This window comes from Homo sapiens, chromosome 14 (assembly GCF_000001405.40).
Source record: "Homo sapiens chromosome 14, GRCh38.p14 Primary Assembly".
Taxonomy (NCBI): domain Eukaryota; kingdom Metazoa; phylum Chordata; class Mammalia; order Primates; family Hominidae; genus Homo; species Homo sapiens.
In genome coordinates, this window is record NC_000014.9 from 103,413,910 (window position 1) to 103,436,907 (window position 22,998).

Genomic DNA, 22,998 nt, shown 5'->3' on the forward strand with positions numbered 1-22,998 from the left:
TTCTGTTGTATGGCTGTGCTACAGTTGGTATTAGCTCCCCCACTGAAGGACATTTGAATAGTTTCCAGTGTTTGGCAATTATGAATAGAACTCCTGTACAGGTTTTTCTGTGAACATAAGTTTTAATTTCTCTAGGAGTGACATTACTGGATCGTGTGGTAAAGAATTAAGTGAATTGTTAACTAGAAAACTGATTTTATATAACAGTATAATATTCCTAGTAGAAAGAAACCTAAAGCCTCTGGTCTGGTCTGTGAATTGGTGTATTTTTATTACTTAGTACTTTTCTTTTCTTTCTTTTTTTTTTTTTTTAAAGATGGACTTTTGCTCTTGTTGCCCAGGCTGGAGTGCAATGGCTCAATCTCAGCTCACCGCAACCTCCACCTCCCAGGTTCAAGCGATTCCCCTGCCTCAGCCTCCCTAGTAGCTGGGATTACAGGCATGTGCCACCATGCCCAGCTAATTTTGTATTTTTAGTAAAGACAGAGTTTCTCCATGTTGGTCAGGCTGGTCTTGAACTCCCGACCTCAGATGATCCGCCCGCCTTGGCCTCCCCAGGTGCTGGGATTACAGGCATGAGCCACCACACCCAGCTACTTAGTACTTTTCTCAGCTAAGATCTTTATTTTTGTCAGCGTTCTCTTGCCCTGTGATGGGAACGTGATGTATCTTGCCTATTGAAGAACTAAAACCTCTGAAGAAAACCCAGAGGGTTGTGGGAAGAGTGGCATTGATGATTTGGGGACTTAATTTGTTCTGAGTCAGTATAAGTTAAAGGCTTATTGTGTATTATGTTGAGAGTTTTAACTGCTATCCTTGGGGTAAGAACAGAGATGTAGAATTATATCGTGAAAAGAATTTTCTGAAAGAAGGGAGTAGGGACAATCTATATCATGCATTTAAGTCACAAGGATGTCGTGAACATAAAAGATACTCACGAAGGCCGGGCATGGTGGCTCATGCCTGTAATTCCAGCACTTTAGGAGGCCAAGGTGGGCAGATCACAAGGTCAAGAGATCGAGACCTGAGGTCAGGAGTTTGGGACCAGCCTGGCCAACATGGCAAAATCCCATCTCTACTAAAAATACAAAAAATAGCCGGGGATGGTGGTGTGCGCCTGTAGTCCCAGCTACTCGGGAGGCTGAGGCAGGAGAATCACTTGAACCCGGGAGGCGGAGGTTGCAGTGAGCCAAGATCATGCCAGTACACTCCAGCCTGGCAACAGAGTAAGACCTTGTCTCAAAAAAAAAAAAAAAAAAAAAAAAAGATACTCATGAAAAACTATATGTTCGTTGGAAGAAAGTTGTTTTAATTTAACAAACATGTTGGAATAAGAATTATAAACAAGATACATTAATATGTACACTCTGAAGACCATTTTAAATCAAGCCTTTAAATAGCCTAGTTATGGTGTAAGTTCAGTTTAGATGAGACTTCCCACAGGATGACCATGAACCAATCAGAAATGGATATCAAAATGCTCATTTTATATATTTTTAAAATACATGTACCAGTTGTGAAATTCATCTGATTTAGCTCTTAAATGAAAATGCTACCCATTATCCATATTGTCCTGGAAGCATCTATCCCATATTTACTATGAATCTGGGGATGTTAGTTGCATCTGCTGTCTTGCTTTTGACCAACTTTTCATAGCTTATGGTTATTTTGGTGTGAAATATTGCCTGTTTTACACCACAGTTTTCTTTCAAGTTCATTATTTTCCCCCCACTAATTTTCATAGCCTCCCAGAGACCTTTCCCCTCACACGAACTACAGAACTCACTTGTTTCAGTCATTTGTACTTTATTGGAGTTATTTATTGTTTAAAAATTATTTTCCTAAAGTAATGCATGCACATAGCTTAACAAGTCAAATATACTAAAAAGTTCTAATGACAATCAGAAGTTTCTTTTCTTATCCCTCTTTTTCCTCAGCATTATTACTCAAAGGCCCCAACTTTTTTAAGCTCTTTCTTCTGTTACTCCAATAGCTTTCTCCAAATTTATCATTTTAAACATCATTGACTTCCACTTCCCACTTCCATATCTACATTTCTTTCCCTAGCTTTTCTATTGCAGTGATATATTTGGCTTATTTACTTAAATTACGACTGTGTAAGTATTGTTGAGCTTTGGCTATGATCATTTATTTTCTTATATAATTGTAAAGCTTTGTCTAAAATTAATAGTTGTTTCTTTTTCTATAAACTCTTAGGTTTTATGTGTTACTGCTAATTGGCCAAAATGTTCTAGCTTATCTTTCAAATATTTTGCAGTACTCACACATATAATATAATGTATTAGCTCAAGAGAGAATCGGTGAGTATAAATTAGAGACAGCAAGGTAGCTCTTTCTAGGCACAGATAAGTGGGATGGTAGCTACAGGGAGACATTAGGCCAAGGTATTTTTTAGAAGATGGACAAAATATCAACATATTTCTCTACTAATGGGGATAATCTCATAAAAAGGAGGAAATTGGTGCTGTCGAAGAGATTTTGGAATAGGTGAGGGGATGGTGGAGGCATTGGTCTTTGGATAACATGGACAGTTCTTCCATAGAAATAGGAGGAAAGCAAGCCAGGCGTGGTGGATCACGCCTGTAATCCCTGCACTTCGGGAGGCCGAAGCGAGTGGATCACCTGATATCAGGAGTTCGAGACCAGCCTGGCCAACATGGTGAAACCTCATCTCTACTAAAAATACAAAAAATTATCTGGGCATGGTGGCGTGCCCCTGTAATCCCAGCTACTCAGGAAGCTGAGGCAGGCGAATTGCTTGAACCCAGGAGGCAGAGGTTGTGGTGAGCCGAGATCGCACCACTGCAGTCCAGCCTGGGCAACAAGAGCAAAACTCTGTCTCAAAAAATAAAGAAAGAAAATAAAGTAAAGAAATAGGAGGAAAGCAGAGGGTGCCGGCATCAGTGCAGGTGAGGGGATCCTTATGGTAGTAGGAGCTTGTAGAAATTTTCTGAGTGCAAACTGTTTTTTCAGTAAAATGGAAAGCAAACTGATCTGCTACGATGAGGAGATGTATTAGAGATGTGAGGAGGTTAAAATAATTGCCAGATAAGCAGGAGAGTGAATGGACTAGAGAAATGTAATAGAATTGCCAGGCAGCCTTAAGGCTTCCCTGAGGTTGGTGACCAAGGATTTAAAGTGGGAAGAGTCAGCATGGCGTTGTGCTACTCTCCAGCCACATTCAGTTGCCCAGCTGCAGGCATGGCATTTGCAGAGATTGGGGTTTTGTCACATTAGTATAGTGAAAGGACAAAGGAGCATTGTTATACAACACCCCAGGAGCATTGTTATACAACAACATCACAATGAAATTAGTGATATAATTAGGAACTAAGAACTTGAGGAGGAAGACTGACCCTATGAAGGTGTGGGGTCAGTGAATTACAGATCCTGGTAAGTTCCAACAGTTATTAGAGTACTAGATTGAGTGAGCAGGAAGGTAGAAGAAGTTAGTTAAAGAATGGGAAGCTCAAACTTGGATCATGAAAGGTTTTCAGATATTGGGAATGTCAAAGACTGGAGTATAACCATGTAAGTAGCTTAAGTATGTAATATTTTTTTTCTTTCTGGAAGTTTATCCTTGGTTTTTAGAAATTAGCCATTGAGGTGCCAAGGGTTAGTCTTCATTCATTGTTCTTGGTGCTCATTGGACCCTTTTAATATAGAGGTTTTTGTCTTTCAGTTCTGGAAAATTGTCTCTTTTTTAACTTAAAAATCTTCATTCTGGAATCCTTAAGCAGAGACTGGAGTGCTTGAAAAGAGCCTCAAAATCTATCTTCTATCTCTATGTTTTTACTTTCTGGGAGATATTTTTAACTTCATCTTCCATTCTTTCTGTTAAAAATGTGTGTGTGGGCCGGGCACGGTGACTCATGCCTGTAATCTCAGCACTTGGGGAGGCTAAGGCAGAAGTGTCACTTGAGGTCAGGAGTTTGAGACCAGCCTGGTCAACATGGTGAAACCCTGCCTCTACTAAAAATCCAAAAAAATTAGCTGGGCGTGGTGGCGCGCACCTGTAATCCCAGCTACTCAGGAGGCTGAGGCAGGAAAATCTCTTGAACCCGGGAGGCAGAGGTTGCAGTGAGCCGAGATCGCGCCACTGCACTCCAGCCTGGGTGACAGAGCAAAACTCTGTCTCAAAAGAAAGAAAGCTGTGTGTGTGTCTCCTCTTCTCTCCCCAGCTCACTCTTTGATCATTTTCATCTGTTTGTTGTTACTGTCTTTACAGCATCTAGCCCTGGTATTATGAATGTTGTTTCTTCTGCTGACTCCCTGAGAATAGTAAAGGCTTTTTTTTTTTTTTTTTTTTTTTAGCTCTTTTATAAAGTAGATTTTTGTTCCCTGCATTGCTTCTCTTTTTTTCTGGGGTTCTTTCTTGTTACCGCTCTTTCATATAGAGACTTTCTCTGGATGTCTGGTAGCCTCTGGTTGTCTGTACCTAATGTGGAGCCCTAAGCATCTGATCACAAGCTGTGTTTGTATGAATAGGACATGTTTGACCACAGAGCTTTCCTATTGGGAGTTGTCTGGTGCTTTTATTGAAGACCCCAGATATTTGTGTCCTTAGATTTCTGAGAGTATCCAGTTTCTCTAGATAAGAATCTTCTCTTCTGCCTGGGAGGAACTGATGATCCCACCCCTCAGTCACTTAGTCCTCCCCCGCCTGCCTTTTCATCTGTTGCTTCACTCCTGAAACCACGTTTCTTCATCCTGGGGTGTGTGAAACTTCCTGAGACTTTGCATAAATGCTTATGTTTAGTCACGAGTTTGTTGGTGAAGACTATGTTAACAACTTTACAGAAAGTTTGGAGAATAGAGAAGAAAAACCCCACAATCCTAATATTCTGAATACCATTTTTGTTTTTGTATATTTTCCATATACATGTTTTTTCAACATATTTTTGATTATAATTTTGTATCTTGTTTTTTCCGCCCTCGGAATTTTATCCAAAGCAGTTTTCTACGTTGCCACTAATCGTCATAATTGTTCATTTCAGTGGTTGTGTACAATGCCATTGATGAGAACAGCAGTTCTCAAACGTTTCTGTCTCAGAACTCCTTTAAATTGAAAATTGAGGCTGGGCGCGGTGGCTCACGCCTGTAATCCCAGCACTTTGGGAGGCTGAGGCGGGCGGATCACGAGGTCAGGAGATCGAGACCATCCTGGCTAACATGGTGAAACCCCGTCTCTACTAAAAATACGAAAACAAAATTAGCTGGGCGTGGTGGCGGGCGCCTGTAGTCCCAGCTACCAGGAGGCTGAGGTGGGAGAATGGCGTGAACCCGGGAGGTGGAGCTTGCAGTGAGCCGAGATTGTACCACTGTACTCCAGCCTGGGTGACAGAGCGAGACCCCGTCTCATAAATAAATAAATAAATAGAAAATTGAGAACTCCCCAAAGCTTTTATTTATTAGGGTTATATGTATTGATAGCTGCTGAATTGGAAGTTATTACTTAGGAAACTTAAAATATATATTAATTCATCAAAAATAATAATCCTGTTACATGGTAATGTAAATAACATATTTTTATGAAAAACAACTATTTTCCAAAGCAAATTATTGAAAAGAGTGAATTGTTTAAATTCTTTGCAAACCCCTTTAATATCTGGCTTAATAGAAGTTAGCTGGGTTCCTGTGTCTGCTCTGCATTCACACTATTTAAGTATGTTGTTTTGGTTGAAGTGTATAAAGAAATGTAGCTACAAAAGGAAGGGAGCATATTAATACCTTTTCAGGTGATTGTGGATATTGTTCTTTGACATTATACCAAAACTCAGCAAGTGGTTTCTTGGGGGTGGGTAGACAGTGATGAATTTTTATTCAAAACAACTGTAGTGACTGACAAAAAAAGTTAAAACCCAGAATGATTTGCTTCAATTAAAAATTAATTATATCCCAAGAGCAGGGGTCTACCAGGTTGTCTGAGGGGAGGGGTGAACTGGCCCAGAAACGGAGCAGGTCAAAATTCCTCTGCTGATCAGTGGGATGGGGATTGGGATCAAGATTGCTTCTGTGAATAGCCACTGCCTGGGGAACATAGCGAGATCCTGTCTCTTAAGAAAAAGAAACAGAAACTTTTGGAAACAAGCAGACAAGGGTGAAAGAAAGCCTTGGTGTAAGATATAATTTATATATTCCATATAAGATATAGAATACATATGTTATATAACTAAAAAGCATAAAAACAGTCAGCATGCTTTTAGTACAACCTGGAGGTATGGTTAATGTGCAGGAAAAAAGCTCCATATAAGCCTAATCCCTATATATAAAAAATCACGGAATTCCACAGTTTTGAACATTTTTTTTTCTTTTTGAGACAGAGTCTTGCTCTGTCGCCCAGCCTGGAGTGCAGTGGTGCAATCTTGGCTCACTGCAGCTCTCTACCTCCTGGGCCCAAGCAGTCCTTCCACCTCAGCCTCCTGAGTAGCTGGGACCAGAGGTGTGTACTACCACATCCGGCTGATTTTTTGTATTTTCTACAGAGACAAAGCATCCCCATGTTGCTCAGGCTGGTCTCGAACTCCTGGGCTAAAGTGATCCTTCTGCCTGGGCCTCCCAAAGTGCTGGGATTAAAGGGATGAGCCACCACACCTGGCCAACACTTTTTTTGTGTGTGTGGTAAAATACATACAACATAAAAGTTATAATTTTAACCATTTTTTAAGTGTGTAGTTCAGTGACATCAACTATATGTACATTATTGGGCAACCATCACCACTATTCATTTCCAGGCAGATAGTTAATACTCATTTTTTTGTGGTTTCTATATTTGCAAATTTACCTGTTCGAAAAAATTTATTTGTAACACCCAAATCAGTACAGCGCTTTGGTAATCCTTTTCGGACATATGCAGAACGGTGAAAAAATATGCACATCCCTAGTTGAGGTTCAACAAGGGGACACTTTGCTTTCTTTTTTTCAGTCTTTGTGCCGTAAACCAGTGTCTTTTTTGTGATCTATTTAATGCCTTTTTTTTCATTTTTGTACTTTTTGTTGATGATTTTGCCATTTAAAATGGGCCCCAAGCATAGTGCTGAAGTGCTGTCTAGTCTTCCTAACGCACCCTTGAGTGAAACTTACCTAACACCTGCATTTTCTTTGTAAGGCACATCATAGCCTTGCCATGGATAAAACTCTGGACAGTTGAGTTTTTCCTTGCACTGCACATGGCTATGGTGCTTTACAAAGAAGATGCACGTGTTAGAAGTTTCACTCAAGTGTGCGTTACAGTGCTGTGGCTGTGAATTCAGTGTTAACCAATCATATATAGTAAAGAAGGTGTTCTTAAACAGACACACACATAAAACAAACTTATGTATTAATCTGCTGTTGCAAAATGTTGTGACCAGAGGCTTGCAGAAACCTAACCCCCAGAAGCAATGATTTCGTATTCACTAATTCAGTGAGCACAGTAACTGCATAGAATGAACAATGAGAATTGACTGTAGCTCCTTTTTTGAAAGAAGAGGCTTAATTATGGAGCAAGGCATCAGGAAAAATCACAGGCTTTCCTCATTTGTGTGATTTTTTTATTTTGTTCATGTCTTCAAGAGTGGAGCCCTAAGAAGAAAGCTGAGAGCTCCCAGTAAAGGGGTGACGAGTGCCTGGCTTAGCCTCATAGAGGCCAGAGGAACGTCGGTCTTTACACTGGGACATTCCACACACGCAACACAGAGTTATTTTCTATGGACAGTTGAGTTTTTCCTTTTCCAAGCATATTCTAGGGTTGTCTTTCTGTGCCCTGCTACATGTTCCACTGTACTGCTGTCAGATTTTTATCTCCCAGAAATTCTTTGAAGTCACTTGTCTTCTGGTGGCAGCCCTTCCCTTCTCTTGGCCATTCTTTGTCATTTGGTCTTTGTTCTTCAGTGGGCCTATCAGGTGGCAGGACAGAGAAATGCATGTGATCAATATGCCATCTTTAACCAATGTCCTCATTATGGTTATGAAAATAACTTTTCATGTAATTATTTTTATTCAAGTTACATATTACACACAGTTTAAAGAGTCAAGACTTGTTAAAAAAGAGTCCCCTAGACTCACTGGTTTCCTTGTCTCCCAGGATGGCCACTTTTAATCTTTTAAAGTGATTCTTTAGTCTTTTAAATGATTCTTTCATACTTTATAACATGCTTGTAGTCTTACTTGTTTTTCAGGTTTAGGCATTATCTATTGACATTTTATTTAAAGTCATCATTGACTTTAAAAACACAAAAACTCTTTACTGAAATGTAACACAGGTTGGGTGCAATGGCTCATGCCTGTGAATCCCAGCACTTTGGGAAGCCGAGGCAGGCAGATCACCTGAAGTCAGGGGTTCAAGACCAGCCTGACCAATATGGTGAAACCCTGTCTCTACTAAAAATACAAAAATTAGCTGGGCATGGTGTGTGTGCCTGTAGTCCCAGCTACTTGAGAGGCTGAGACAGGAGAATTGCTTGAACCCAGGAGGTGGAGGTTGCAGTGAGCCAAGATCGCGCGACTGCACTCCAGCCTGGGCGATAGAGCAAGACTCCATTTCAAAAACAAAACAAAAAGAAACGTAACATACATAAAAAGTGCCCAAATCATAAGTGTACAGCTTGATGAATTATCACAAAGTAAACACATTTGAATAACCATGACCCGGGCAAAAAATATACTGTGACCCACACCCTAGAAGCCTCCCTTTGGCCTCCTTCAAATCCCTTCACTACCCCACCTCCTCAAGTGAACCACTGTGCCACCTTCTAATACCATAGGTTTTGTCTGTTTGTTGTTTTAACATTGTACTAATAGAATGTTAGAGTATTTTAATAATAGTGTATTATTTTGTGTCTATTTCTTTTACTCTACTTCATGCTTGTGATATTCTTCCATGTTGAGGTTTTCATTTGTAACCAACTGTTGTAGTTGTTTGACTTGGCCTCCATTTGCTATGGATTGAATCGTATGCCTCAAAATTCATATGTGTAAGCCCTAACCCCCAGTGTGACTGTATTTGGTGATAGGGTCTTTATAGAAGGTTAAGTGAAGTCGTAGTATGAATCCTGATTGATAGGGTTAGTGTTATTACATGAAGAGACACCAGAACGCTAGCTTTTTCTACCACATGAGAACGCAGGGAGAGGGTGGCCATCTGCAAGCCAGGAAGAAGGTCCCCTCCAGAACTGTGAGAAAATAAATTACTGTTAAGTCCCCCAGTGTGTGGTATTTTGGTTATGGCAGTCCAAGATGACTAATGCATCATTCTTCAGGCCACTCTATCCCCCTAGAGGACTTGCAGTCTTTTTTTTTTTTTTGCCTCCTCTTTTACTGACTGAGAATGTTGTTAACACTTTCAGAAACAGGGTGTTAGGATCTTTTGACCGTTGGTGAACCAACAGAAAGTGGAAGATAAGGATTTTTCTCCAGTGGGTGTTTGCTGTGGATTTGTTGGGAGAAGCCCATCTCATGTATGAGCTGTCCCATCCCTATTTTGTAATATTCCACTTTGCTGCTGGCATCAGAGTGAATGTAAATGGAATTTCCCAGAAATTTCCACAGCAAGTGGCTTTCTCACTTAGTGAGCCCCCTTGGTGTTTGTTGAGTCTCCCTTTACCCAACCCCACAATCACTGGAATAAAGGGGTGGTCTTCTCTCCAGTCTACACCTTTCTGAGGCACTGCAATCGGGGATACCCCAGTTACCACCTCTTTTGGTGACCCCAAGGTTTCAGCTTTGCCTGAGCTCTCCAGGCTCCAGCTCTGGGCCAAGGTGATTTTGGTGGAGTCATCCCAGCGGGGAGCTAGGAGGAAGAGGGGATTAGGAACTCCCGCTCAGGCTTCCTTGCTGCACGTACACATGTCACATCAAATGATGGTGTTTCACTCTGGGGACATAGTTGCTTTTGATAAAATGACTTTTCTGCAGTTTGGTTAAGCTGAATGAAACATATTTGAGCTCCTATTTTTGCTTCAGAGGCTATTGAATAGCAGTACCTGAAGATGAAAGTGTATAAGAACAGAATCAGTCCGGGCGCGATGGCTCATGCCTGTAATTCCAGCACTTTGGGAGGCCGAGGCGGGTGGATCACCTGAGGTCAGGAGTTCAAGACCAGCCTGGCCAACATGGCAAAACCCTGTCTCTACTAAAAAAATACAAAAATTAGCTGGGTGTGGTGGCACGTGCCTGTAATCCCAGCTACTTGGGGGAGGCCAAGGCACGAGAATTGCTCGAACCCGGGAGGCGGAGGTTGCAGTGAGCCAAGATCACGCCACTGCACTCCAGCCTGGGTGACAGAGCGAGACCCTGTCTCAAGAGAAAAAAAAAACGCAGAATCAGAATCTTTGGAATAGTGACCGGATGCCGTGGCTCATGCCTGTAATCCTAGCACTTCGGGAGGCTGAGGTGGGCAGATCGCTTGAGCCCAGGAGTTTGAGACCAGCCTGGGTAACATAAGGAGACCTCATTTCTACAAAAAATTAGCTGGACATGGTGGCACGTGCCTATAGTTCCATCTACTCGGGAGGCTGAGGTGGGATGATCACCTGAACCTGCGGAAGTCGAGGCTGCAATGAACTGTGATCATGTCACTGCACTCCACCCTGGACAACAGAATGAGACCTCGTCTCAAAAAAAAAAAACAAAAAAAAGAATCTTTAGAATAGGAGGAGGATATTGAGCAGAACCATAAGAAACTAGTGATTAAGAGTCCAGGTGTGAAAATAGAAACCACGTCTCAGAAGCTCAGAGAGAAGAAGAACTGGAAAGGCAGCATCTTTGATGGATTTGGCCATGAAGAGGAGGAGGAATAAAGCAGAATGGAGGCCAGAAAAGAGTGTGTATGTCTAACGGTTTCATTGGAATTGGGAGATCTAGGTATACCATGTAAAATTACTTATGAAGGTAAAGTTTGAAGAAAATTCATTCGACTTTGATTTATATAATTTTTAAAACCTCATTATCTGTTAAAACACCAGAAGCCCTGTTTTTTGGTTACTGATTATGAGTGTTCAAGGCCTCAGATCAACTCAGCATTTATTTATTTATTTATTTTTATTTTTTTGAGAGGGAGTCTCGCTGTCTTGCCAGGCTGGAGTGCAGTGGCATGATCTCGGCTCACTGCAACCTCTACCTCCCAAATTCAAGCAATTCTCCTGCCTTAGCCTCCCGAGTAGCTGGGATTACAGGCCCATGCCACCATGCCCAGCTAATTTTTTGTATTTTTAGTAGAGATGGGGTTTCACCATGTTGGCCAGGATGGTCTTTGTCTCCTGACTTCATGATCTGCCTGCCTTGGCCTCCCAAAGTGCTGAGACTACAGGCGTGAGCCACCACACCTGGCCTATTTATTTATTATTTATTTATTTATTTATTTATTTATTTGATGGAGTCTCATTTTCTCGCCCAGGCTGGAGTTCAGTGGCACCATCTTGGCTCACTATAACCTCCGTTTCCAGGTTTCAAGTGGTTCTCCCGCCTCAGCCTTTCAAGTAGCTGGTGGGATTATAGGCATCCGCCACCAAGCTCAGCTAATTTTTGTATTTTTAGTAGAGACGGGGTTTCACCATGTTGGCCAGGCTGGTCTCGAACTCCTGACCTCAGGTGATCCACCCACCTCCCAAAGTGCTGGGATTACAGGCATGAGCCACCTCACCCGGACAACTCAGTATTTATTGAGTACTCCTTATGTGCCAGTTAGGGCTATAAAGATGAATAAGATGTCTTTTCCCCAGTTGAGATATGCATAAGACAGTTCGTGTTTGCCTGTTTCAGTAGTCAGTATTTTCTTTTGCTTATTCAGTTTCCACTGAAACTTATGTTTTCCAAATACAAAATTAGAATTCCAACTTTGCGTTTTTCAGGCGCACACACTCGTTTTCCCTCCACTCCTTCCCCAGTTCTGATTTGCTTCCTCCTGAAAATGGGGGTTATAGCCCATCCACTCCAGGGTCAGAATTGCTGGATACCTTGTTGCAGTGATTTTTTCTGTAGCTCCTCTGGAGGTTATAGACTCATAGGGAATAAATAATGTGGTCAGGTGGAGGCTTTAGACCAAGTTAAGCAGGGTTTTTAAAACATGGTGTTAATGTACATAATGCAGCCATTCTCAAAAGTATGACATGGGGAGACCCCTGGAGGTTTTCTGAGACCCTTTTAAGGAGTCTGCCGAGTCAAAACTATTTTTGTGATACTAGTAAAACATTTGCTTTTTTCATTCTGTCTCTCACAAGTGTAGAGTGGAATTTTCCAGAGGTTACATGATGTGTGATATCACAACAGATTGAATGTAGAAGCTTGTATGAAAATTTCATACAAATATATTATTTGTGTTATAATGTGCTTATTGTTATTTTGAAATCAATTGTTAAATACTTTTTTTTTTTTTTTTTTTTACAGTTTCTCAGTTTTTATTTGTATTTTGGTAGATATTCGTTGATACAACCCACATTTGGGGGAATGAGTAATCTTTAAAAGTGTAAAAGGGACCAAAAAGTGTGAGAATGTTTGATGTAGAGAAACTCCAAGCTCATTCCCTGGACTTTGGCTATAGATGCTTTCTTCAGGGGTGGGTCTTCTGGGCCTGTGTCCTGCAGGATGCCCAGTAGGAAGCACAGCCTCTTTGATCTTATGGGGGTGGGCTCATTTGCTGTTTTGGAGCTCAGGTGCAAAGCCGAGTTACTTGATATTCCCTGGTCATGGCAAAGCCTCTCTCCACTTTTCTTCCCTTCTATTGTCACTTCCATTCTTTTTCCATAGTCCATAGAAATCATTTTTACGTGACAGTGATGAGCTGACCAGAAGCTATAGAAGCTATAGTACTTCCTATATCCTAATGGGTTTTAAAAACACTGGCTGGGGCATACTCACCCTTTCTGAACAAAGGCTGCTAGGTGACCCTGCTGTTGCCGCTCTGTATATTCACTTGGTTAGCCCACAGATTGGTTTGGACCTAATTCCCTTTCCTTCTTTAACTGCCCAAAGGGCTTTTCTATTTAAAAAAAAAAAAAAAAAATTTTTAAAGTTTTCAGATTCAATACCCACCTATTTGTATGCTTACCCATCCCAGAGTCAGCTAAATTTAAAGTGTCAGTAAATTGTAAAGAAAAGATTTGCTACATTGCATATGTTTTTAGAAGTGCTTTCTGTGTATAATCTCTCTCTCTCTCTCTTTTTTTCTTGGTTTGGAGGAGACTTTCCCCTTGTCTATAAGTAACTTAAATATAAAATGTTATAACAATACGTTTATTAGTTTGAAGCCCCAATTTTCTTTTTTTTTTTTCTTTTAAGTGAAAACAAGTTTATAAAAGAAGTAAAGAAACAGGCCAGGCGCTGTGGCTCACACGTGTAATCCTAGCACATTGGGAGGCCGAGGCAGGTGGATCACCTGGGGTCAGGAGTTCGAGACCAGCCTGGCCAACATGGTGAAACCCCATCTCTACTAAAAATACAAAATTAGCCAGTCGTGGTGGTGCGCACCTGTAATCCCAGCTACTCCAGAGGCTGAGGGAGTAGAAACTATGAAAACTTGGGAGATGGAGGTTGCAATGAGCCGAGATCATGTCACTGCTCTCCAGCCTAGGCAACAGAGGGAGACTGTTTCAAAAAAAAAAAAAAAAGAAACAAAAGAATGGCTGCTCCATAGACAGAGCAGCAGTATCAGCTGCTTGACTGAGTCTACTTATAGTTATTTCTTGATTATATGCTAAACAAGGGGTGAATTATTCATGAGCTTTCTGGGAAAAGGGCAGAGATTTCCTGGAACTGAAGGTCCCTCCCCTTTTAGGGGACTATTTAGGGTAACTTCCCAAGGTTGCCGTGGCATTTGTAAACTGTCATGGTGGTGGTGGGAGTGTCTTTTAGCATGCTGATGCATTATAATTAGCTTATAATGAGCAGTGAGGACAACCAGAGGTCACTTTCATCGCCATCTTGGTTTTGGTGGGTTTTGGCCTGCTTCTTTACCACATCCTGTTCTATCAGCAGGGTCTTTGTGACCTGTATCTTCTGCCAAGCTCCTCCTATCTCACCCTGTGACTAAGAATGCCTGACTTCCTGGGAATGCAGCCCAGTAGGTCTCAGGCTTATTTTACCCAGCCCCTTTTCAAGATGGAGTTGCTCTGGTTCAAACACTTCTGACATATTTCCCCCCTCCCTTTTACAGGGGGACCCTTAATCCTTAAGAATTGTAGCGGGACAAAGATCATCTGTAACTTCTTCAAGCCAAATAGGGGTGATGATATTCCTGCCTATTAGGGTCTCTTGTATTTAGGGTAGGGAGAAGTTTAGTTAGAAAGCATTGTTATAGAAGCCCTTATTTTCAGTTACACAATTTTATAAAGTTACAATTGCTTATTGTAACCAGCTGAGTTTTAGGTTTTGTGGTTTGTTGCTTGCTTGCTTGCTTGCTTCTTAATGCCATATATCTTGGCATTTATCAGTCCATAATTACTAAATTCTTAAAATCCATAAATATTTATTATTCTTTCTAGGTTGCAATAAAAATAATTGACAAAACTCAGTTGAATCCAACAAGTCTACAAAAGGTAAGATTGGTTCAATGTCTAGTACTTTTTAAAAAATTATCGGTGCTAATTGCCATCTAATTTGTCCCTTAAATACCCCAACTGTTATTTTATGTTTAATGCCATAAAGCTTCCTATTCCTCAAATGAATGCAACTTAATGTAGTATTTCATGAAAAATTGTTGGGTTATCTTTGGTCGGAGATTATTTTTAAATGTTCTTAACAGCACAAACTAAAGGCTGTGCTTTTTTTTTGTACTTTTTTATTGATATAGTTGTACGAGGCTGTACTTTTTATTGAATATTCTTAATATTGACTAGAGTTTTTTTAAAAATAATACAGTACAAAAATATTTTCATGTAATTGATATTGTGCAAATTTGTACCTTATAGCTAATACTGAAAATTTTAAAGTGAACACTTTGGCTTCCTTAAACTCTTGACACACCACATCTGATTAAGGACTGATGATTAATATAAAAGGGAAATGTTAAAGTAAAACTGAAAGTGGAAAAGCATGTTCATAAAGCAGTATTGCCATTAGTATCATTTAACATAGATCAAGTCTTTGCCCTAGTGCCTTTTAGAATCACCTGGGCAGATTTTTGAAAGTCTTAACACTTACATAATAATGCCTAAGCAATTAGGTTGGGCCCAGGCATAGGTATTTCAGTGGTAGGACATCAGCAAATAATTAATGATCTTCATAATAAAATCCTTCTAGTTGTTTTTAGCTTCGCAGAGTCTTTTTACATACTTCATTTGATTTCTAGATTTGACCTGTAGTAGTTGAGGGGGGTACAGAGACCATGAAGTAGGAACAGGAAGTACTGAATTTCAGTCCTGGCTCTGCCACTTAGCCGAATATCTGACCTTGAGCAAGGCACTTAACTTTGCTGGACCTTGGGTTTCTCATCTTTAAAATGGAGATAATTTCATCTTCTTATGATGGATGTGAGTATTAATGAAATAATGCATATAAAAGGGCTTTGTAAACTGCACAGCACTGCACAGTTGTGCGATATTTTGATAAGAGCAGTGCTCTATATACATTTCTAATGTATTCCTCATGGTTATTTATATCCTGGTAATTTTGAAGCCCTGTCCCTGTTTTGTGTTTGGGAGGTGGGGAGGGAGATAGACTTTCTCTGCACTAAAAATGTTATTTCAACAAGTGGTTCTTTGTGATCTGCAACCCATAATGGGCCTTAAGGCTTCTCAAGGTGGGCATGAAACATCTAAAAATTCCAGTCCTTTGTCCTGAAGAGTAAATTTTATCTATTTCCTTAAACTTCCATATCTTCAGCTATCTAAGGATTTGGTACTAATAAATACATTAGAGTTTAATACAATGTGGTATTCAGAACTAAAATTAACATACAAGGATGTTTAATGAGGACTCTAATTGAGTATTCTATGATGTTACATACCTTCCACTATTCATGTGTACCTGGATATAATTGTAATCCTAACAGTTTTCCCGGAAAAATTTTTACCATGGTGTTGTATCAAGTTGGCTGCAGTTTTTCCTTCTTGTTTGCTTGCTTCCTTTAGTCATTTTTTATTTTATTTTATTTTTTTGGTAATGATTTTTCATTGCTGCTCTTCGTTTATTATTTGTCACATCATTATCAGTTTAGTGCATGGTAGTTTGGTTAGCCCATTAGTGTGATTATGCATATTTGCATCTGAATTAATTTTGACTTATAATAATAATTAAAACTTTAAGATTTGTTTTTGGTATTATTCAAGTATGAACCATTCACTGAAGACTTATTCTAAAGCCAGCTCTATCCCAAGTTAAATAACTTGATAAGTATAATATTTTCAGTTTATAGGCCATTGTTTAAAATTGTGTATATAACTTCATATGCTTATGAAGTAAATTAGAAGCATTTTACATACATTTGTTTCCAATTCTTTTTCACCAAGTATCTTATCCCCAGCCCCCCCATCTTCCCCCACCCCCAGCAATTTTGCAACAATGTAGAATGTACCAGGCAACTTTGTCAGCCCCCTTTGCAGTCATTCTTGCATCCTTTTTTCTTCTCAGCACCATTCATAGTTGTATCACACTTGCTTCAGGAACAGCTCTCTTAGATAGTGATTTAAAGCTGTGGAGCATGCCCTAGCAGCTAACATTCATCATAAGGAACATTCTGCCATCAGCAGTGTGCAATCTCTTTTTTACCACCACTACCGAAAAAGGTGGACTGGCTCATTCAGGCAGTATTTTAACAGTGAACACACGTGTTAAAATATCGGTTTCATGATATTCAGGCTTGCATACTGGGTCATGAACATTTACTAAATGCACATATAAGTAAACCTGAGTTGACTATGTTTGCAAATTGATATTATTTTCACAGATGAGTCTCTTCATTTTTCCTTTGTATTTTTGCAGCCATTGAATTAATAAACGTTAGATTCTGGTGAGAGATTTATTTTTCTCCATTGTTTTTTAAGAGATGGGTCTTGCTCTGTTGTCCAGGCTGGACTCGAACTCCTGGGCTTAAGCAGTCCTTCCACTTTAGCCTCCCAAGTAGCTGGGACTACAAATGCACACCACAGCATCTGGCTATATACCTTCCAATGTCTCACTAGTATATCTGGAATACTATTCTATTCTTACGCATCTTTTAGGTCAATTTTTTGTTTGTTCGTTTGTTTTTGTTTTTGTTTTTTTGAGATGGAGTCTCGCTCTGTTGCCCAGGCTGGAGTGCAGTAGTGGGATCTGAGTTCACTGCAGTCTCCCTCTGCCTCTTGGGTTCAAGCAATTCTTCTCCCTCAGCCTCCCAAGTGGCTAGGACTACAGGTGTACGCCACCACACCTGGCTAATGTTTGTATTTTTAGTACAGATGGGGGATTTGCCATGTTAGCCAGGCTGGTCTGGTCTCAAACTCCTGACCTCAGGTGATCCACCTGCCTCAGCCTCCACTTGCTGGGATTACACGTGTGAGCCACCATGCCCAGGCCAAGGTGTGTGGATCACTTGAGGTCAGGAGTTCGAGACCAGCCTGGTCAACATGGTGAAACCGCGTCTCTACTAAAAATACAAAAATTAGCTGGGCGTGGTGGCACATGCTTATAATCCCAGCTTCTCAGGAGGCTGAGGCAGGAGAATTGCTTGAACCCAGGAGGCGACAGAACAAGACTTTGTCTCAAAAAAAAACAAGAAATTTGTAACATGTAATGAAATAATTGATTTTTTGTAATGTATTTATGATAGCTGGTTAGTTAGCCAACCTTGAGCACATTCAGGGATGGAGACACACTCCTTCCCGTAGCATCTTGTTCCAGTGTTCAGTGGCTTTGCTATTAGAGCCTTTTCCCCTTACTTCAGACTAGCATCTGTCTTCTAGAAACTTCTACAACACTGTTTACCATTTGTCATATGGAGTTATAGTTACTCCAAACATAACCAGCCCTTAGAAGTTGCTATTTTGGGTCTTGTTGATTTTCTCTTATGCAGAGTAAATCCCCTCAGCCTCCTTGGGTACTCCCACAGGAGTTTCGCTGAACAGAAGCCTACTTTATTCCATACTTGGAATTGTTTCCCCCCTCCCACCTGAATTTGTTTGATTCCTGCTAAAATTCATTTAATTGATTTTCTGCCTTAATTCCAGTCTTTTGGGGGATTTTGGAATAATGGGTCATTTGTATTAGCTGCTATGTAAATTAGATATGGATGTCTCCATCCAATTAAAATATTAAACAAGACAAGAACAAGACTTTTCAATGGAGAATTCATCCAAGTTGATACTGCTGACCCAGTAGTAAAGCATTTTTTGAGTAAGATTTAACCACCATTCTTAAATCTAGACTGAGTAGGACAGAAAGGGAAATCCCTGTGTTTTTAAATTTTAATGAGATTTACAGAGGAAGAAAAAAAGGAACATTAAACACAAATATATGCAAAATACCCAGTAGGATTTATTAAAGCATTATTGACTATGGATTTCATCAGGGTCTTTGTGGGGAAATCCTGCTTATACCCACCTCAATCTTCCTCCCTCCCTTCCTTCCACTGGCCTTATCGTGATTGTAAAATAGGGCAACACTACATTCCATAAAATAGAATAAGTGTCCCTATGAGCTGAGCAGAAGTTGGCTTTAGAGACAGGCAAAGGCTGAAGAAGGCTGAGGCAGGCCCGGCACAGTGGCTCACTCCTGTAATCCCAGCACTTGGGGAGCCTGAGGCGAGAGGATCACTCGAGCTCAGGAATTCGAGATCAGCCTAGGCAGCACAGAGAGACCCGTCTCTACCAAAAAAAAAATTAAATAAATTAACCAGGTGTGGTGGTGTGTACCTGTAGTTCCAGCTACTTAGGAGGCTAAGATGGGAGGATCACTTGAGCCTAGAAGTTGGAGGCTGCAGTGAGCTGTGATGGTGCCCCTGCATTCCAGCCTGGGCAACAGAGCAAGACCCTGTCTCAAAAAAAAGCTGAAGCAAAGAACAAAGAGTGTATTGGTCCTTTCAGAATTCCTTTTTTTTGTAAGGCAGGGACAGGGAAACAGAACAATAGACCACAATAGACTATACCACATAGAAAAGTAACCGATTAGTTAATGTCAGGTTACTTCACACTACATTTTTTTCTGTAAGGATTAAAGCAGTAGGAACTTTGTTATTGTGCCAATTGAAGTTTTTTCTTTTCTTTTCTTTTCTTTTCTTTTTTTTTTGAGACAGAGTCTTGCCCTGTGACCCAGGCTGGAGTGCAGTGGTGTGATTTTGGCTCACTGCAACCTCTGCCTCCCGGGTTCAAGAGATACTTCTGCCTCAGCCCCCTGAGTAGCTGGGACTACAGGTGTGTGCCACCACGCCTGGCTAATTTTTGTATTTTTAGTAGAGACAGGGTTTCACCATGTTGGTCAGACTGGTCTCCCAACTCCTGGCCTCAGGTGATCTGCCTGCCTCAGCCTCCCAAAGTGCTGGGATTACTGGCCTGAGCCACCGTGCTCAGCCAGGACAGTTTAAATCTTCAATCAGGGGCTGGACGCAGTGGCACACGCCAATAATGGCAGTACTTTGGGAGGCCGAGGCGGGTGGATCACCTGAGGCCAGGGGTTCGAGACCAGCCTAGCCAGCATGGTGAAACTGCATCTCTACTAAAAATACAAAAATTAGTTGGGCGTGGTGACATACCCCAGCTACCCAGTAGGCTGAGGCACAAGAATCGCTTGAACCTCGGAGGCGGAGGTTGCAGTGAGCCGAGATCACACCACTGCACTCCAGCCTGGGTGACGGTGAGACTCTGCCTCAAAAAATAAATAAATAATAAACTGTCCTGTTTGGGAAATTAGCTGTTATCTCCTTTTCTTCTGATTTCTAGGAAGGTCAGATAACAACTTAATTTAGGTTTGGGAATGTGGAATCTTAGCAGGGATTACTCCATTTTTAATTTTAACCTGGTTTCCTGGGGCCTAATGCAGGAGTTTAGTCCCAAACAATGGCTTCCTATAATTTTTATTTAACAATTCTTCCCTTTTGGTCAGGCTTTCACCTAGGTAAGAGTGTAACCAAAACCTAGGATATCCCTGCTGTTCTCAGTTGCCATCATTTTGAGTTTCCCGTTTCAGCATGCCGTTGACAGGGTGTTCTCATTATCGTGTGTTTCTTTTGAGTTTTTGTTGTTCTAGCCAGAGAGAACCATTTGACATCTGATAGGTGGCTACATGGAGACACTTAACACTCTGGGAGGATACAGCGTACCAGAGAGACTACCATTATGACTATCATGAGGATCACACCAAGCATTTAGAGTATGCTCCTAAGCCAGGGTTTTTATGAACCAAATCAACTAAAATTGTATAGCCAAACAAGGAGTCTGCCAATTTTAACCAAGTTGTCCGCTCTACCATACCCAAATCGCAACGAGAAGTGTCATGAACTGCACAGATTCCTCCATGTTTAGTAGGCATCCCAGCATTCCGTGACCGGGCTAAGTATAAAGCAGGGAGTGCAAGTTACCCACAGAAGCTACTGACTGTGAAATTTTAGCTACAGCATGATCCTGCCAAACTGAAAGAGGTAGGCATTAGTAAGGAAAAATTAAGAGGGGCAAAAGCATTGTTATGAAGTCTTGTTATTATGACAGTCTTGGGAAAAGCTGTCCATAGCATGCAGTCCACAACTTCTCGTCCTGGTTCGCAGTTTGAATGTCTCTGGTTGTGGCATCTGGCATTCTGGTGAATTCTCTGTGTGGCCTACACATCAGGCATGAGACTCGAAATTTACATCAAGCTGTCAGCTTTGGTTTATAGGGCTTCTGAAATTGAGCAGCTCATTCTTCATTGGCAAGTTGTAGCCAGATATTAAAGAAAACTAGAAGAATTCAGAATCTAGTTCAGTCAGGAATAATCTTATCAGGTCATTTCTGGAAGTCAATTCTGTGAATTAATATTTTAGCAGCGTTTTTTGCTTCTAATTTCAAATTGGAAGGTATAGGGTTATTCATTGTGCCCCTCAAGCCTGGTCCACTCCGATACCCCTCAAGCACCAGACACCTACCCAGGAAGAGGGAGGCTGTTTTCTTTTTAAAGCTAGTATTTGCTTTGGAGCCACTGTTAGTGCTTAGAGCTCTGTAGCAGTAGCAGTAGTGGCCTTTTTTGGCGTCCTAGGGAATCTTGGTCATGGGATGTAGCAGGGAAACTTATAATTTGAAAGCAAGGAGAACCAGTTCATGCTTTTCATGTGGTCTGTCGTGTAATGACTTTTACTGCTGCCACCACTGGGTTATTTTGGGCACTGTTGATTTAGTTTTCTTAAGCCAGTACTTTTCAACCCTTCTTGTGCATTAGAAACATTTGTGGAGTTTGAAAAAAGCATATTTCCTTCACAGTACTTTCCTCCCTAGAGGTCCTATCTTGGCGGGTCTAGAAATGTGGTGATCTCAGTACACACCCCAGATGAGAATGGCTCCTAGTCTGTCTTCACTTCCCCCAAAGTTCTTAATTTCTCTCTTCTTCCAATTTTACTTATTTTTATTTATTTATTTATTTTTTTGAGACGGAGTCTCGCTCTGTCACCCAGGCTGGAGTGCAGTGGTGCGATCTCAGCTCACTGCAAGCTCTGCCTCCTGGGTTCACGCCATTCTCCTGCCTCAGCCTCCCGAGTAGCTGGGACTACAAGCACCCGCCACCACGCCCGGCTAATTTTTTGTATTTTTAGTAGAGATGGGGTTTCACCGTGTTAGCCAGGATGGTCTCAATCTCCTGACCTCATGATCTGCCCGCCTTGGCCTCCCAAAGTGCTGGGATTACAGGCGTGAGCCACCACGCCCGGCCTATTTATTTTTTATTGATTGAGTGATTGATTGATGGGGTCTTGTCCTGTTGCCCAGGATGGAAGGTAGCAGCAAGACCAGAGCTCACTGCAGCCTGGAATTCCTGGGCTCAAGTATCTTTCCACCTCAGCCTCCTGAGGTAGCTGGGACTATAGGCGCGCACCACCACACCCAACTAAAGTAACCTATTTTATTTATTTATGAGACGGAGTCTCCCTCTGTTGGCCAGCCTGGAGTGCAGTGGTGCCATCTCGGCTCACTGCAACCCCTGCCTCCCGAGTTCAAGTGATTCTCCTGCCTCAGCCTCCCAAGTAGCTGGGATTACAGGCACCCGCTGCCACACCCAGCTAATTTTTGTATTTTTAGTAGAGACAGGGTTTCACCGTGTTAGCCAGGCTGGTCTCGAACTCCTGACCTCAAGTGATCCACCCGCTTCAGCCTCCCAAAGTGCTGAATTACAGGTGTGGCCACCGTGCCCGGCAAAGTAACCTATTTTAAAGATGACCCCTTCCCCAAATATTCTAAGTTTCATAGACAGCTGCTACTGCCACTGCCACTGCTGAATATTTTCTCCCTCTCTGGAACTCTTCCTAGGAATGCCTTAGTACCCAGTTCCTGGCCTCCTTTCTCTATTGGGTGAAGCACAAGTTATTTTGGAAATCCTTTTCATTGAACAACTCTTTTCATCTTTTTCTTTTCTTTCTTTTTTTTTTTTTTCCAACTATCTTTCTCTTTCATTTTCTTATATTGACTTTTCAGGCCATTAACAAAAGTAGTAACCACTGTAAAAATAGTTGTTACAGTCTTGTCTGTTATTTAAAATCCAGTGTCTGCATTCACATCAGTGTCATAAATCTGATAAATTAATACAAATAGGAGATGGCAAATGAAATCCAAGACAGGCACTTCTTATATTGATTGATTGAGGCTGGGTCTTACTTTGTAGCCCAAGCTGAAGTGCAGTGTCATGATCATAGCTCACTGTAGCCTGGAACTTCTGGGCTTAAGCAATCCTCCCGTCTTGGCCTCCCAAAGCCTTGGGATTATAGGCATGAGTCACCACCCCCAGCCTGATTATACATATTTAAAATATTGAGAATAGACTGGGCACGGTGGCTCACTCCTGTAATCCCAGCACTTTGGGAGGCCCAGCTGGGTGGGATCACCTGAGGTCTGGAATTCGAGACTAGCCTGACGAACA

At 41.3% G+C, this 22,998-nt stretch overlaps 1 protein-coding gene across 35 annotated transcripts in view, besides 2 other annotated features; it reads left to right on the forward strand.

The window, feature by feature from the left end:
• Positions 1-22,998, forward strand: part of MARK3 (microtubule affinity regulating kinase 3) — a 118,417-nt gene that overhangs the window by 28,495 nt on the left and 66,924 nt on the right. For 27 of the 35 annotated variants that reach the window (NM_001128918.3, XM_005267641.6, NM_001128919.3 and 24 more), the window contains one exon: positions 14,478-14,531. The exons of 7 other annotated variants lie outside the window; for them this stretch is intronic. In NM_001128918.3, coding sequence (NP_001122390.2) covers positions 14,478-14,531 — 54 coding nt within the window. Of the gene's footprint in view, positions 1-14,477; positions 14,532-22,998 lie in introns of those variants that run through there. One more of the 35 variants, XM_047431394.1, reaches the window with a different exon arrangement.
• Positions 4,563-4,672: an enhancer, noted in NCBI's record as "active region_9103". NCBI's record gives its function as "activates an Ori minimal core promoter by ATAC-STARR-seq in GM12878 lymphoblastoid cells {active_cell/tissue: GM12878}" and the evidence as "EXISTENCE:reporter gene assay evidence [ECO:0000049][PMID:35858748]".
• Positions 4,683-4,752: an enhancer, noted in NCBI's record as "active region_9104". NCBI's record gives its function as "activates an Ori minimal core promoter by ATAC-STARR-seq in GM12878 lymphoblastoid cells {active_cell/tissue: GM12878}" and the evidence as "EXISTENCE:reporter gene assay evidence [ECO:0000049][PMID:35858748]".